General features: G+C 49.9%; 2 annotated features.

The window, feature by feature from the left end:
• Positions 4274-4853: an enhancer, noted in NCBI's record as "H3K4me1 hESC enhancer chr8:142990054-142990633 (GRCh37/hg19 assembly coordinates)". NCBI's record gives its function as "activates a minimal SCP1, AML or CMV promoter by ChIP-STARR-seq in naive H9 embryonic stem cells {active_cell/tissue: H9 hESC(naive)}" and the evidence as "EXISTENCE:reporter gene assay evidence [ECO:0000049][PMID:30033119]".
• Positions 4854-5432: an enhancer, noted in NCBI's record as "H3K4me1 hESC enhancer chr8:142990634-142991212 (GRCh37/hg19 assembly coordinates)". NCBI's record gives its function as "activates a minimal SCP1, AML or CMV promoter by ChIP-STARR-seq in naive H9 embryonic stem cells {active_cell/tissue: H9 hESC(naive)}" and the evidence as "EXISTENCE:reporter gene assay evidence [ECO:0000049][PMID:30033119]".

Genomic DNA, 17909 nt, shown 5'->3' on the forward strand with positions numbered 1-17909 from the left:
TGCCAATGGTGGTATAGGAATTTTATTTGAAATAGAAAGGCAATTAGTAGAAGGTTCAATTGAAAGGGTTCAACAAGGTGGGGTAGGGGCTAGGAGCCAGCTAGAGGACAGCCGCTTGTATTATAAATCGAGCAGGGGCTAGGAGCTAGCTAGAGTATAGCTGCCTGTATTAGAACCCAAGCGGGGGTTAGGAGCCAGCTAGAGGACAGCCACTTGTATTATAAACCAAGCAGGGGCTAGGAGCTAGTTAGAAGACAGCCGCTTGTATTAGAAACCGAGCGGGGGCTAGGAGCCAGCTAGAGGACAGCCGCTTGTATTAGAAACCAAGCTCTTCTCCTGTTACTATTTTACCAGTTAATGTGTCACACTTATTCAATTCTATCTCCTTGATAAAATGAAACAGTGATTCCTGCCAGGCAGGGAGGGGCAGGCAGCTATGAAGACAGGCCCTGCGGTGCCCCTGGAGCTGCTCTGGGAAGCAGCTGGTGTGACCACATGACTGCGTTTCCCTGGGGACTCTCCACGTAAGCCTGCCTTCCTGGTGTTTAGCCATCACTCCCCACTTCCCTCCTATGTCTCAGTTTGAACAACAACATACAGGGTTGTTGTAAGTCGACAGGGCGATGGCCACCTGCCCGCAGTGGAGGCTGCCTGCCTGGGCCGGGAGGGGCGTGTTCCCTGGACCCAGGGACTGGTGCAGAAAGTCAGGTCTCACCAATCGGAGCGAGGCATTCCCTAGGTCAAAGCCATGGGCCAATCTTGGGCTCATGACCTCATTTAGACCCGCAGGTCCTGGGGGAGGGCTTTGGGGGAGGTTCTTTCCTCTTAAGAAAGGCCTGTGGGAGCTGATGCTATGGCACTGGGGTGCCGGCCAGGAGCTGCAGAGCTACGCATGAATAAAAAGAGGCTGTGCTCAGGCGGCGGCGTGGCTGTGAACTGGCCATGGAGGAGGGGAGGAGCACTATCAGGGTGAGCCTTCGTGTGGGTGGCGGATGCTGGGTGGGCCGGCATTGGCAGAGCCTGACCTGGGGGAATGGGGGTTAAACAAACTGAGTTTGGGGTGCCCCAGCCTTCGCTGACGGAGATCAGTCAGCACAACTTAGGCTTACAAAGTCCTTACTGTGCAGCAGACACGTTTAGAAGTGATTTACAAGCATTATCCTAATTAATTCACAGCAACCCTATACTCACAACCCCTGTAGTTTATGAGTAAACCAAGGCACAGGGTGGTTAGTAGCTTAACCCAAGGTCACACAGCTAACGGGAGGTGACGTGTGAAGTCGAGCCAGGCAATTCGGTTCCACGTTGCAGCCTGGGCAGCTCCTCTATGGTGGCTATTTGGTTCCACTGCCACCCTATCAGATCCCTCTGCGCGGCTCCATGCAGCTGTGGCCCTGGGAGGCTGACTGGGCTACACCGCCCTGCCCCTGGCTTCCGGGTGAGCTTGGCCAAGGGGCGTGGGGGCGGGGGAGGGGGTGAGATGGAGGTGTTGGCACTCCCTTCCCCTCTCTCTCATCATGGGTGGGCCATGCCACTCTCCCAAAGACTCTCTGGCTCTTGCACATTCTGTTAACTTCCCTTCCCTGGTCTCCTCCAACCTGGGGTGATGCCGGCTTCCTGCTAGTGCCGATTCTGTTGGTTTTCCTTGTGAAGCCCACACACTTGTAAACAGGCCCTGCAGTGAAGCCCCTCGTGAATGCCATCTGCTTCCTGGTGGGGCCCTGCTTGGCAGCAGAGCTCAGGAGACATAAATCTGAGAGCCATCAGCCTAAATGTGCTCGTTAAAGCAGCAGGTGTGGAGGGGCCTTCCCAGAGAGAGGCTGTGGGATGGGGTGGGGAGGCTTCCCATCGAACCACGGCAGATGCCAACACTGGGAGGCCAGCGAGGAATGGAAGCCAGCGCACGGGGCAGAGAAGGTTCCAGAAAGGTGGTAGAGGAGCCAGGACTGGAAGCCAGGGCAGGGGGCAGAGAAGGTTCCGGAAAGGTGGGAGGGGAGCTGGAGTGGTCTCACAGAGGCCAAGGGACAGGGATGCTTTAGGGAAGAGGCAGTGTCTGGAACTTCACTGAGCCATGGGCCGAGGTCTTAGAGTCCCCCGGGGGCCTGCATTGCGGCTCCAGGGACACCAGCGGCAACCATCCCCAAGGAGAGTGGAGTGGAGGCTGTTGAGGGCTAGAAACAGACGGGAGTGGAAGGACAGGAAACGGCAAGGAGAGATGGCTCTAGGGAATTTAACTGCAGAAGGGAGAGGCAGGAGTGTGCCTGGCAAGAAAGAGTGCTCTCACAGTGTGTCTGGGGTTCTGTGGCCCCTCCAGACCCACCCTCCGCCTTCCACCTGCTCCGTGTGGCCCCTCCAGACCCATCCACTGCTTTCTTCCTGCTCCATGAGGTCCCTCCAGACCCACCCTCAGCCTTCCTCCTGCTCCATGAGGTCCTTCCAGACCCACCCTCAGCCTTCCTCCTGCTCCATGAGGTCCCTCCAGACCCACCTTCGGCCTTCCTCCTGCTCCATGTGGCCCCTCCAGACCCAACGTTGGCCTTCCTCCTGCTGCATGTGGGGAATGGGCACTTATGGATTACACCTAAGGGCGCCCTGGCCTCCAGCTCAGCGTGGGGCACGATTAAGAGGGCACGGGACAGAGGGTGGGGTAGGAGGGAGTGGACCCTAGCTGTTGCTCCCCCAGCTCCTCCCCTCCAGCCCTGGGGGCTACCTCCTCCGTAGACTGAAGGCCACTGCGACTTCGGCCACTCCCGGGTCCAGTGCCTCCCTGAGGGTGGGTGTGGCTGGAGTAGCGTGGAGGAGGAGAGGGGAGGGCTGGGGACGGGATGAAGCCCAGGCGTCTGGAGGAAGGGCTTCTGTGGGAGGGAGAAGGGCCAGAGTGCGGGCAGATGGGAAATACTGGACATAGTGAGACGTTAGATTGTGAGATGCTGGGTTAGGGACTCTGCAGGCGGAAGCATCCGGGGAGATGACGAGGTAGGGGGCTTGGAATGGAGCCTGTAGGAGGGGGAACACATGCCCAGAGAGACGTACACAGCAGTGGAATTTCCCTGTGATGAGCATGGCTCGGTGCAGGGGCCTGCAGAAGGGGGACACACGCCCAGAGAGATGCATGAAGCAGCCAAATGTCCCTGTGATGAGCACAGCTCGGTGCAGGGGCCTGCAGAAGGGGGACACACACCCAGAGAGATGCATGAAGCAGCCAAATGTCCCTCTGATGAGCACAGCTCGGTGCAGGGGCCTGCAGAAGGGGGACACACACCCAGAGAGATGCACATAGCAGCCAAATGTCCCTCTGATGAGCACAGCTCGGTGCAGGGGCCTGCAGGACGGGGGACACATGCCCAGAGAGATGCATGAAGCAGCCAAATGTCCCTGTGATGAGCACAGCTCTGTGCAGGGCTGCCTCAGGCCAGGGAGGTGGGGACATGGGAAACAGGCAGGACAGGAGGTCAAAGCAGAGAGCTGGGAGGCAGCAGCTCCAGGGACAGAAGCCCAGAAGGCAGGCCTGGGGCAGGAAGCCTCCAGTGTCTTCCACAGCCCAGTCAACGGCAGGTGGCCTGTGTGTGGCCGGGGCTGGGCCCAGAAGCAGCCCTGGGGCGGGTGCCACATGCCCATGTGACGCAGGCTACCCTGTCCCACACCAGCAGCTTTCTGCCCACAGGCAGGTGCTCAGTGGTGTCTGCCCCTATCAATGCCAACACTTGGTTCTCTACAAAGGAGTTCTCCTGGAGGAGCCACACAAGCGGCCACTGCTCCTGCCTCGTCCCCAAGTTGCTCTGCAGGCTGTGGGGGAGGGGCCTTGGGGCAGAAGGAGGCTCAGGTGTGATGAAAAGTGGAAGGGAAGGGAGACGAGGTGGGATTGAAATGCATGGTGCCCAGGTTACCACCAGCCAGCGTGCCATCAACTGCCCTCAGCTCTTCCTGTGGGTGCCCTGGCCTCCTTGCTCACCCAGACCAGGCCAGCCCTCTCCCAGTTGTTCCAGACTCAGGTCCACCTGGGACACAGTCAGAGTTCCGATCTTGGTGGGGGGTTGAGCCTGTGGCTCTCAGCTCCCATGGCTCCTAGTCCTTGGGCAGGGCTCTCTCTGCCCCAAGCTGTGCCAGCCTCTGGCTGCACCCAGCACCGTCAGGGGTAGTGGCGTGGCTGTCTTTTTCTACTAGATCAGAACTCTACAAATTCGATGTGCTTGTTGCCACATAGGCAAGATCCCCAAGGCCTGGTGGTCTCCATGGGCCCCATTAAACACCTGAGGATTAAAGATTCCAAGAAGCCTGGATCCTCCCCACTCCATATTGCTGCCTGACAGGTAAGAGCCTCCATTCCAAGTCCCAGGAAAACAAGGTGGGCGGGGCAGCTGAGCCCTCCCGGACAGGAAGTCTGTCCCGCATATGCGAGTGGGCATGTCTCTAGCAATGGGCTGGTGGCCCTGAGGGCATCACGCTTTCCAGACCTTGCCAGCAAGGTGCCCATAGGGTGCATTCCTTCCAACCTGGAGCTTTTGAGGGAGGCCATAACTTCCTGGTATGCCAGCTTCCTCCTCCTGTCCCTCTGCACCTCTGCGACACGGCTGACTTAGTAAGAATAGATTTCTCCCCTAAATTAACTCTGATTCTTTTTCCAATCTTTGGGAATTGATGCCACCTGAAAACTGCTGGTTTGAAAGCATGAGATGCGGGACTCGGACCTCCCGCGGTGGCTCCGCTGAGCCCTCTGCCATGGCTGAGAAGTCATCACACTTCTTTTCCCTTCTGTCTCTGAGGCCTGTGGCCTGAATTTGGTAAAATAGTCCACTCATTTGTTTACTTCACAGAGCCACAGGGCCCCCCAGGGGGTGATCTCAGCACTAGGAACCAGGGATGCAGTGGTGAGTGGGCTGAAATCCCCTGACCAGGGATGCACGGCTCAGCGCAGAGGTAGACGGGAAGCCAGATGATCGCAGTGTGGGAAGGCCCACCTCTGTTGGACCCCACCAGCAGCTCTGTTCACCCACAGCACAGGGAGGGCAGTTCACGACCCACCCCCGAGGCTTGCCTACCGTGGGAATGAGCTGTTGAGCCTCAGAGTTACTGATCGAAAGGCCGTCTTCTCATAGCTGTTACAGTGATTAAGGAGGTTAGGCATGGGAAGGCCTTCATGATGTCTCTGATACACAGAATTAATCAATGCTGCTGCTGTGATTTCAACGAAGGCTGCAGAACAGACCTGTGATGCTCCGAGGCCTGGGGGTGATGAGGGAGGCTGCAGGTGAGCTGTGCCCTGCCTCTGACGCATGCTGGGTCAGCGCTCACGCAAGTGGTGAATATTGATGAAGTGCCTGTGGTATACCAAGGGTCGTGCTTCTCTGGTGGGGGAAACGGTCCAGGAGTGACAAGGACACAGATGCTCATCAGACCTGAGTTACGAGCCACCCTGGGGGTCATGGGTGTGCTCTGGTAAGGGGAGACAAGAGTTCTGTAAAGGGGAGACAAGAGTTCTGTAAAGAGGGAGCAAAGTGTGAAAAACAAAGGGAAAGATGAGGCATAGAAGGCCAGTGCATGAGAGCCTGCACGTCTGAGAACTGCCCGCATGGCTGACAGGTGGGGTTCAGGGTGGGCAGGGAGGGAAGTGGAGGGGCCCAGGGGCTGTTTGTCACCCTCCAGTGCCTGGAGAGCCCTCAGCCAGTGCTCACCTACCTCCCGGGGTGCCTGCCGGGACCCTGGCAGTGCTGTGCCCAAGCTGCCCATGGAGGATGGATTGACACAGTCAGGAAGATTGGAAGCCTAAGGAAGCTGCTGCATTTATGATCAGCACAGATGGAGGACAGCAGAGACATCCACAGACGCTGAGGACAAGGAATCTGTGTGTGACGAAGAGGGAGGCACGGGGGAGGAGAGGGAAGAGGACATCCAGAAGGGGCCCAGGCACTCACAACCAGGGGATCAGGGGGATGCTAAAGGAGGAGCAATTTGGGTGGATGATGACAGTGTGTGAGGTGCTCACCATGGGATGGGCTCCATCTGTGGTGCATTGAGATTTCCGGGGAGCCCTGACCATTCAAGTCTGAGAACCAGCAGCCTACGTGGAGGCAGCTGACAGGATCTGGAGGCATGACAGCCTCGGAGGGCCAGCAGGGGAGGAGGAGCACCCAGAGAAGCACATCAGAGAAGGGGCCAGAGACCACACCAGAGAACTGAGCCAGCCCCAGCAGCTCCTGAGGCACAAGGGCCCTGAAGAGCAGGGCTACCAAGAGGTGGAAATGGGGCTGAACAGAGTCCACCACGTCACTGAGACGTCCCCCAGGGCCTGGCCTGAGGAGTTTCGGTGGAGTTGTGCAGGTGAAAGCAAGATGACAGTGAGTTCAGGGGTAAGAGGTTGGTGACATAACCCTGCAAAGGAGGACCGTGTGTTTAAGAAGCTTCACTGTGAAGGCGAGAAGGGGAGGCTCAGAAGGCAAGGCAAAGCTGAGACGAAGCTTTTTTTTTTTTTTTTAGATGGGAGAGATTTGGGCTTGTTCAATGTAGATATCAAAAATATCAAGGAAATCAAGAGATTTTAGATATAGCAGAAAAGAAGCAGGTTCCTCGTTTGAGGCTGAGTCAATAAGACATAAAATGACAATGTAATGCTCATGTAAAAGAAATGCAGTAACCTTTATTTGCAGTAAAAGGGTAGCTTTGGTAACTAGTTCGAATACACACATAACTTAAAGTCTTCTTAAGAGCTTCTATGGTCAGGTAAGTTCAGAGGAATTCTCAGCACAATAAAAACAAATCAGATGGGAACCAGCAAGACAAGCAAGGCGGGCAGGCAGCTTTGCCTTGATGGCGTTTTCCACCAGGGTGGCCCCATGCTCCAGTTCCCAAGGTCTCTGGAAACAAAGAATAATGCCCAGGTCTACCCAAGAGCACAAAGTTCCGGAAGGAGAGGGTAGGAGCTTACCCCCAACAAATTGTCCCCTCCACAGGGCTGCACACTCAATGCCCATGTGAATCAGATGCTAACCCAGGCCATCTCCCTGGTGTATTATAAGGAAAATCAACTGACTCAGACCTTGGCATAAGAAGGAAATGACTTGAACACAAACCATCCCTTAAGTGGGTTTAGGCCTGAATTCACACTACCTGGGTGGTCTCCAAAAACCTCAATGCCATAACTTACTTTAAAGAACTGATAGGGTCTCCAAGATCTGGACAGAGCAAATTCAAACCCTCTCTGGAGGAACTCATTTTCACCATGCATCAAATAAAAAAAATAATGAGGTTAGAAAAATAGAAGTTGATGGAAATGAATGACTGCTAGGGAAAGCTTGTGGCATACAATGAAAGCAACACTTAGGAAAGAAGCTATGGCCTCAGATATCCACATGAAGATAAAAGAGAGCTGAAAAGTAATGACTTCAGCACCCATCATTAGAAATTAGAAAAAAACACCTAGCAAAATAAACCCAACCTAGAATAATAGAATGATGACATTAATAATAAAGATAAGATAAATTAATGGAATGGGAAAGACATAGATAATAGAGAGGGTCAGCAAGGTCAAAAAATGGTCTTTTGAAAAATATTAATAAAAATGACAAATCTTTGGTGAGGCTGATCCCAAAAAGAGATAAGGCAGAAATAAACAAGAACGATAATGAAGAGGGGACGGAGCCACAGCTGCTGAATGTCCTGAGAAGATGAGGAGAGGCTTTCACGTTCAGCCACGACACGGTAACAAAGCTGTCTCCTTTGCAAAAACAACCAAATGTGGACAGCATCTGTGAAACCATGGTTTCCAAGATATTGGGCATCAGAGGAGAGACAGTCATCTCTGGGAGATGGGAAGAAGCATGCTGTCAGATTTTTCCCGATTATTTTCTGGAGTTTTCAGGCTGTAGCACAGGGAATAGGGACCCAGGCAGAACCAAGAAGACTGAGTTGAGGGTTGGAGAGGAAAGGTCAGGGAGCCCAGGTGGCTGGACTTCAGAGCACAGAGTTCCAGAAGGAAAGAGACGCACAGAGAAAGAGGCCAGTGGTCTGCAGGGGGTCCCAGTTGAGTGTTCAGTGGTCTGTGCATGTGTGAGAGGAATACGCCCAAGTCTGGGGAAAGAAGGACCAGAAAGACTAATAGTGCCAAACGCAAACACAGAATTGGGAATGGTGCCTGTTCCCACCAGCCAGACTGGAAAACTTCCCAACTCATGATGCATTGGGCAATGTACACAGTCTGGTCTTGTCTTGGAGGTGGGGAAGAAGTCGTTATAGATTAAAGCTGTTCTGCCTCTGCCTAAAACAAAAATCTTAAAAGGAAGACATGAAACTGTTTCCAGGTAACCTGAGTCCAGAATAAGCCTCAAGAATTTATAGAAATACAAACATATGGATCACCCAAAAAGGTAAAAATCACAGTGTAGGGAATTTGACCAAAAATTATGATATACAAGGAAGAAGAAAAGTATGACCAATAAGGAGGAGAAAAATCAATCCTTTGGTTGGCCCAGAACTTTCAGAGATGTTATAATTAGCATGCGTAGACACTGAAACAGCTGTAACTGTAACTGTAAACATATCCAATATGTTCCCAAAGCTAAAGAAAGTATTGAATACGTCCAGTAGAGATATGGAAGATAGGAAAAGCATTCATGTCACACTTCTAGAGGTGAAAAATATAGTGTTTTAGCTGAAAAATACACTGTATGAGATGAAGAAGAGAGAGGACATGGCAGAGACAGAGGTTCATGAACTGGAAGACAAGGCAAAAGAAACCATGCAAGCAAAACGGAGATTTGTTGCAAAAAGACTAACAAATTTAACAGAGTATCAGTGAGCTGTGTGACAATGTCCACCAGCCTAATATCTGTGTGACTGAAGTCTCCAAAGGAGATGAATAGAGACTGAAAAAAAATCTGAAAAAATAATGGCTAGAAATTTTATGAGTTTGATGAAAACTATAAAATTCACAGATCCAAGAAACTTAATAAACTTTGACAATGACATGGATGAAGAAAACAATACCAAGTGTCACTATAATCATTTTGGTCAAAACCAGTGAGAAAGAGAAAATTTTACGAGTAATGAGAGAAAAGGATGTGTCACATACAGAAGAACAGAGATAAGCATGACAGCCGACTTTTTGGAAACAATGCAAGCAAGAAGGCAGTGGAGCAATATTTTTAAAGGGCTTTTTTCCTTTAAAGGAAAAAAAAGTCAGCTTCTTTTTCCCTCTTTAGGTGAAGACAGGAAGTGTCTTGGGGGCTGGAGTTGGGTAATTTATCTTCTCTCAAGTCTGCCAAGGGTCTGGTAAGTGTTTTCTCTTCTTGGGTAGCTCTTTGTTGTGGGGAACATTCTGGATTATTTCAAAATGGCTACTTTTTCCCTTCCCTTGGCCAAACAGGGAAGGATTTTTCTCCAGTATTCACTGTCAGAACCTGGGAGTTGTGGGGGAAATCCTGGAGGTGAAACCCACAAAAGGATAGTGATTTCCCTTTAGAGTGGACGCCCAGGATTTCTTAGTGCTCAAGCTAGTCCATACTAAGCCCTCAGAAATTTTGAAGCTGAGAACTAAAAGCAGAGGTCACATCCCAGAGGCACAGGGCCACTAAAAACTATCATACAGATTCCAGGCCATCACAGTCAAGATCCCAGGAGGCTGGCTTTTGTAGAAATCGAGAAGCACATTCTAAAATCTGTATAAAAATCCAAAAGACCTAGAATAGCCAACGCAATTGGAACAAAACGAGAAAACTGAAACGACCTGCTTTCCACACTTACGCAGTGTGGGATTGCCATAGAGATAGATAAGTAGGTCAGTGGACCAGAATAGAGAGCCCAGAAAGAAGCCCAACTGTGCTGGGAAGAATTCTCAGTCTCTCTTCTCCCTCCAAGGTTTCCCATGCTAATCTCCAGGACCGTGACTATGAGGAGCTATCAAGCTTCTGAATATTTCAATCTCAAGGCAAAGGGTAATTAAGATGCAGTTAAGGTTACTACTCACCGGGCCTTCAAATAGGAACATTACTGTGGATCGTCTGGGTGGGACTAACCTAATCACACGAGCGCTTAAAAGCAGAAGAGGAGCCTTGAGATTTGAAGCAGGAGGCAGAGTGAACCCCCTGCCACAGGCTTGGAAGCAGGAGGGTCCACTGTGAGGGCTGGGTGGTCTCTAGGAGCAGGGACTGGCCAGTGGCTGACAGTCAGCAAGGACATGGAAACCTCAGTTTTAAAGCGCAAGAGACCTATTTCTAACAAAAATCTGAATGAGTTTAGTAGCAGATTCTGTCCGAGATCCCTCAGACAAGAGCTCGACCTGGCTGACACCTGGATTTCAGCCTGATGAGACCCTATATTAAGCAGAGAACCTATTTAAGCCCACCTGGAACCAAAAGAGAATCCACGGACATTGTTCTAAGCCACTAGGTTTGGCATATGACAGTAAAAAACTACTATAACTACACATACAGGGACAACTGACTTTTAAGAAACGTGCAAAAACAGTTTTGGAGAAAGGATAGTCTTTTCAGCAAATGGTGCTGAAAGTGTTGGTTATCCATATGCACAAAAATGAACTTAGATCCATACCAATACCATATATAAAGTCAACTCAACATGGATCACAGACCTACATGAAAATTCAACATTTGTTCATGATCAAAATCCATAGCAAGCTAGAAAAGAGTTGAGCAAAACAAAACCTACAGCAAATATCATATTCAGTTGTTAAATGTAGAAAGTGTTCCTTTTCAGATCAAGAGAAAGAAAGAAAATAATGCATGCTCTTGCTTCTGTTCAACATTGTACTGGAGGTTGGAGCCTGGATGGTAGACAAGAGGGAGATGAAAGGAGGAAGGATGAGAAAAGGACGGGAAATCAACCATGCCTGTGTACATGCAAAATCCAAAGGAATCTACAGATGCATTATTAGAATCCACAGCATTTCTTAACATGATTGCTAGATACACACCCAAATATCACAATCGACTGTATTTCTACTTACCAGCTATACAACAAAAGCCATGCAAAAACTCTGTGGATAAAGCATAGAGAAATTTTCACAGTTTTAGTGAACATTCTATCAACTCTGTACAAAATTATATAGTTTCATTGGGAATCATTAAATAAAATGTAAGTGAATAAATAACATTCTATTTTCAGAGGTTGGAAGGATCAGTATGGAAAATGTCAATTCCTCAAAATTCATTTATAAATTCAATGCAATAATACAAAACCTCATAATTTTTGATACAAAATCTGCCAAACTCTAAAATAAGTATGAGAATGCAAAGGGCCCTAAATCATCAATACTCTCAAAAATTAGTGACGTAGGCAGACTTGTCCTTCCAGGTAGCAAGACTTTTATACAAGCACGTAACACAGAACAATTGTTATTGCGTAGGGATAGACATCTGTGTCAGCAAAACGGAACGGAGTCCGGAAACAAGCCCATAAATGGATGGGCATTACCACAGACCAAAGTTATCATTCAAGATCAGAGGGCAACAATTGGGCTTTTCAAAAAATCATGCTGGGAACATTGAGTCTCAGTGCAGAAAACAAATGAAATTGTGTTCCTACCTCATGCGACACGTAAAAAATTATTCTACATGGATTTAAGATTTGGGAAATGCAAAGCCACAGTGCTATTGCAAAATGTTGTAGCAGAAGAATTTTTAAAGCCTTTGGATAGAGAAAGATTTTTTAATAAGACACACAAAGTAGAAACCCAGAGGAAAAGATTTACTAATTTGTTTACGTAGAATTAAAGAGCTTTTATTCATCAAAAGAAATCTTTAAAAGTATAAGAAGCCACCCACTAGGAGAAGAGGTTTGTATCATGTCTAACCAACAAAGCAATGATTCCAAACACAAGAACTCCTCTCAGCAGGAAAAAAAGGGCAAAAGACTTTAAGAGACACCTCACCATATATGTTGGTGGGACTGTAAACTAGTTCAACCATTGTGGAAGTCAGTGTGGCAATTCCCCAGGGATCTAGAACTGGAAATACCATTTGACCCAGCCATCCCATTACTGGGTATATACCCAAAGGAGTATAAATCATGCTGCCGTAAAGACACATGCACTCGTATGTTTATTGCAGCACTATTCACAATAGCAAAGACTTGGAACCAACCCAAATGTCCAACAATGATAGACTGGATTAAGAAAATGTAGCACATATACACCATGGAATACTATGCAGACATAAAAAATGATGAGTTCATGTCCTTTGTAGGGACATGGATGAAGCTGGAAACCATCATTCTCAGCAAACTATCGCAAGGACAAAAAATGAAACACTGCATGTTCTCACTCATAGGTGGGAATTGAACAATGAGAACACTTGGACACAGGGTGGGGAACATCACACACCGGGGCCTGTTGTGGGGTGGGGGGAGGGGGGAGGGATAGCATTAGGAGATATACCTAATGTTAAATGAGGAGTTAATGGGTGCAGCACACCAACATGGCACATGTATACATATGTAACAAACCTGCATGTTGTGCACATGTACCCTAAAACTTAAAGTATAATAAAAAAAAAAAAAAGAGGGAGACACCTCACTAAAAACTCCCAACTGTCTCATAGACATGAAAACACGCCCAGCGTGGCTAGTAATCAGGGAAAGGAAAATGAAAGTCATGCTCAGATGCCGCCACACGTCCTCTGCATGGGCAACATTAGGGGAGTTAGACGATCCCAAATGATGACAGGGAGGAGGAGTCACGGAAACTTCCCGGCACTTTTCAACACAGCCGTTAGAAAAATAACCCGGCATTCCTGAGAAATCAGAACACGCCCACATTGGAGGGCTTGGCAATTTCTCTTCTAGGTGACTAACCTCAGCACACGGGACGCATGTGCCAGGAGACCCAGCGCAGCATTGTTGATAAGCATCCCATGTTCTCACTTGTAAGTGGGAGCTGCACGATGGGAACTCATAGATACAGGGAGGGGAACAACACACACTGGGGCCTGTCGGGGAGTGGGGTGGGGGGAGGGAGAGCATTAAATAAAAATAGCTAATACCTACGTATAAAACTGGGCTTTATACCTAGGTGATGGGTTGATAGGTGCAGCAAACCACCGTGGCACACATTTACCTATGTAACAAACCTGCACAGCCTGCACATGTACCCAGGAAGTTTAAAAAAAAAAAAAGAAATAATTAAAAAAATAAGCATCCCAGCCGGGCGTGGGGGCTCAAACGCCTGTAATCCCAGCACTTTGGGAGGCCAAGGTGGGCGGATCACGAGGTCAGGAGATCGAGACCATCCTGGCTAACACGGTGAAACCCCGTCTCTACTAAAAATACAAAAAATTAGCCGGGCCTGGCAGCATGCGCCTGTAGTCCCAGCTGCTGGGGAGGCTGAGGCCCGGGAAGCGGAGCTTGCAGTGAGCCGAGATTGCGCCACTGCACTCCAGCCTGGGTGATGGAGCGAGACTCGGTCTCAAAAAAAAAATAAATAAAAAATAAAAACGAAAATAAAAATAAGCATCCCAAATCCGAAAACCCCAAATATCCAGCAAAATAAAGCAAATACGTGCACCATGGTAAATCCACACCAGGGGCACATTCCCACAGAGGGGCTGCGGCCGCACACGCCCTGTGCCTCAACCCGAGACCATAATGGAGGGTAAGAAAAGCAAGGCCCGGAAGGGCACATGCAGCCTGCTTCCGTGTGCACAGACTTCAAATGCAGCAAGCTTAAGCAACATATGGTTTAAGGATGTAAGCATAAAGACACAGCAAAGGAAAATGATTGCCGAAACCTCTGGGAAAGAGGAGGGGGATGGGGTGAGGGGAGGGACGCAGGGAGCCTGGGCACTGACAGTGTTCTCTTTTCTAACCTCCCTGATGAGTCTATGGATCCTCGTTTTGTTATGATTACTTAAATTCATGTGTGTGTTTCATACACGCTCTGTGTATGAGATGTATTATGTAATGGTTGTCTTAATTAATAAACAGCTTTCACTGGAAGATTCTAGAAGAAAAGACTTTTGGACAGGGATTGTCACTAAAACTGGAAGAATATACTAAAAAACATGCATTCTTGGTTGGATGCAAAATGAATGCTGCAGCATTCTGAAAATCAGGGGCAGAAAACCACAAGAAGGAAATGAGTGAGATAAAAAGACAATAAACGTTGCCAACAGGAGACAAGCAAAGGTTGCAGGAGAACCAAAAATGCAATCACAGCTTAAAACCTCTGCAGGGGGCTGGGCACGGGGTCTCATGCCTGTCATCCCAGCACTTTGGGAGGTCCAGGCTGGTGGATCACGAGGTCAGGAGTTTGAGACCAGCCTAACCAACATGGTGAAACCCCATCTCTAATAAAAATACTAAAATTAGCCAGACATCATGTCGGGCACCTGTAATCCTGGCTACTTAGGAGGCTGAGGAAGGAGAATAGCTTGAACCTGGGAGGCAGAGGGTTCAGTGAGCTGAGATTGCACCACTGCACTCCAGCCTGGGTGACAGAGCAAGACTCCGTCTCAAAAAAAAAAAAAAACCTGTCCAGGGACAGTGAAGAAAGGATGTGCCAGGGTGGAAGAGCACGCCAGTGACAACCCTGAGATGCTGCGTCACAATTTAAAAGAAAATTATAAATACCTGAATCTTAGGTCAAAAAGGGCTTTGCTAAGGAAGGCAGAGAATAGAAATCCAAACTTTGAAAGTGTAGAAATGTTTCTAAGGAGAAAATCAGATAACTCGGAGCAGGAGCAATTATCAAAATCATAATTGAGTAAAACCTTACTGGGTAGAAAAAGAACAGAGCAGGAAGGTCACAAGGACATTTCTTTTCCCAAACAGAATCAGAGAAACCGCCATAGGCCTGGCAGCTATTTTTCTATTTATTTTATCTGAAGAATGAATTATGTCATCTTTTAGCATTCTGTCTGAAAAAAAATCATACTACAAAGGAACAAAAATCACACCGGCTTCCAATTTCTCATCTGCAATAAAATTGTAAGAAGACGCTGGCACCAGGCGTGCAGCTATCTGAGGGAAATCTATTTTTTGGTTCAAGAAAGGTTTCCAAGGGAGATGAATGAAGGGTAATAACCCACAGACAAGTTAGAGTAGACGTTTGAGGCAGAAAGAACATGCTGGACATCTCCAAAGCACGAGCTGGCCTGGAGATGGTCAGTGTGGGGGGAGGCTGAAGCTGCAGGTGTGTCCCTGATTTCCCAGGAACCGAGGGTGGAGATGAGAAGCAGGCAGGGGCAGCATCGGGAGCGCAGGGCGAGGAGGCTCAGGGAGGAGCAAGAGACAGCAGTCGCTGAACCCAGAGGAAGACAGTGTCCAGAAGTCACACCACACATTTAAGACTCACAGGAGCAGCTGGTGTCAGTGGCTGGCGAGAGGGGAACAGGCAGGACTGTGGCCGTGATGGGCATCAGAAAAAACGGGCAGCAACTTGGGTCTGGGATGAGACCTGGGGAGACCTGCAGGACCCCAAGCCCTTCCCCTGTCACGGCCATGTGAGTGATGTGTGGAGGGGCATCTGTGGGAAAAGGCACGTTCTTGTTACCCTAAGACATTGGCCTGAAGGCCCTGGTGAGCTGGGCAGGATGCCTGGGTCTTGAGGAGGGCCCAGGGTCCAGGGCTGCAGGTGTGAGGATGTGGGCGGCACACCCCTGCTGCATCTGGGGCCAGCTTTGGCAATGGGCTGTGAAGGGTTTTCCACTGAGGCCCTGTGTGACTTCAATCTCCTTCTCAGGACAGAGGTCAGCTGCAGGCACAGGGACAAGTCCATGGGGCCACCTCTTCCCACAACCACCAGTCCTAATCCCATCAGCCTCCCCTAAGTCCCACCAGACCTCCATCACTTCCATGACTCACACTGCCTCCTGTGGTTCCTCCTAGCCTCCCCAAAATCCCACCAGACCATGGTTTCTTCCAACCTGCCATGGCTTCAACCACACTCCCAGGGCTCCCAGCAGACTCGTAGGGTTCTCACCAGCTTCCAGTGATTCCCATCAGCCGTCTCCCAGGATCCCCACCAGCCTCCCAGGATTCACACCAGCCTCCCAGGACTCCTGTCAGCCTCCCAGGATAAGCATCAGCTTCCCAAGATTCCCACTAGACTTATATGGTTCCTGCCAACCTCCCATGGTCCCACCAGCCTCCCAGGACTCCCACCACCCTCCATGGTCCCACCAGCCTCCCAGGACTCCCACCATCCCCCCATGGTCCCACCAGCCTCCCAAGCTCCCCCCATGGTCCCACCAGCCTCCCAAGCTCCCACCAGACTCCTGTGATTCCTGCCAGTCTCCTGTGGCTCCCTCCCCTTGGCTGCGTCCCAATTTCCCTTTGCAGATTGGCAGCCGAAGGCAGACATCACAGGAGAGGTCAGGGGCCAGGCAGGAAACAGCTCTCCTCATGGACCACCCAGCTGGCACAGAGTTCAGGACCAATTACTGTGTCCGCTCGGCTGGGTTTTTCCACCCTGTGTAGCCAACACTCCCAACCTTTCCTGGGGACCAGAGGTCACAGCTGAACCAATTAATTTGAACCAGTCCGTTCCACGCTTAATAACTCCCCAGCACAGAGCCCCTCTCAGTGTCAGCCGTCTGTCTTCATTGGGTGGCTGATGGATTGGCGATGCTTTACTGTATTTTATTTTATTTTTTTCATCTGTCTTCTGCAGGGGTTGAGGTGACGAGGGGAGCATTGGTTTCCCTGGGGGAATAATTAAAGCTCTTTGGTGCTGAGCCAGATCTGACAAGACTAATGGTCCGTGTGAGCCAAGGCTCCATGAGTTGTATTAGCCAGAGAGTGGAGGAAGCCACAGCCGCTGCCACAGCCAGCCGCCACAGCCAGCCACCATCAGGGCACCGAGGATGTGCGCGCCCTGGAGGACTTCAGGCTCAGAGCCATTCAGGGCCGGTGAGAAAGCTGAGGATGGCAGGTACCTTCTCTCTATGAGTCATTGGTTGCCTCTGCCAACCAGAGACAATGATGGACATTTACATACTTCCAACGTCAGCATGAAGGGTGAGTGTGGAACGCCACCTCTCTGCTGACCCATCTGCAGGGCAGTGAGATGGGCAGAGGCTGCCACTGGTCACTCACAAGTTCATTCAAGAATTAGCAGCTGAGGGCCAGACCCATGCCAGAGCCAGCGCAATAGAGAACCCCTGGCTCTCACTGTGGCAGCCCTCCAAGGTGCCCTCTCCTCCACCCGTCCGCCTGCCTGGGAGATGCTGAGAGTGAGTGAACCTGCCCCTGGGAAAGAGCCAGGACTCCTATGGGGGCTGCACGTGGGTGCCCCGCCTTGGCCACTGCTCCTGGCCACTTGAACTCTCTGGTAAGTGAAACGACACTTACACACTCTTGGAATGACGCCCCCTGAGAGATGCTGCTGATTCAAGGGTAGCTCAGAAAACTGGTCATCCAGACCTGAAGTTGGTCTCCTAATTTGACATAATGGAATAGAATAGAAAGAAGCCACACACGTGGTCCCGCAACATCTTAGTCCCTGAGAACCGCAGCGTTCCTCTCAGGGGCCATTTGTGCTCACCCCTAGTGCCGTGCGGGACACAACTGAATCATGTCTGAATATCGTTGCAGGGAATTTTTTCTGCTTATATCAACATACGGACCTCAGACTCAGGACTTGTCCTAAATTCTACCTTCTACGAAACCTGTAAGGGGATTAATTTATTTAAAATTCTAATTTAATTTCATTATACAAATACGCACTTCTGCATATTTTTTGCATAAATGTGAGCATGTGCCAGCTTCTGGTGCAGTTTTCTTTCTCTTGTGTGACTCTCCCAAGCACTTCTTTCACCTCCTGACCCCAGAAGCAACCGCTTCCCTGCTCTAAATGGTGATTTATGCCGGGCTGCGTGCACAGTGCGTCGCAGCCACACTGGCCTCCCCTCGCCTGATCTCATCTGATGCTCCTGAGGGCCTGCTGGAAGGCAGGGCGGGACTTG

The sequence above is a fragment of the Homo sapiens genome, chromosome 8 (assembly GCF_000001405.40).
Source record: "Homo sapiens chromosome 8, GRCh38.p14 Primary Assembly".
NCBI lineage: Eukaryota > Metazoa > Chordata > Mammalia > Primates > Hominidae > Homo > Homo sapiens.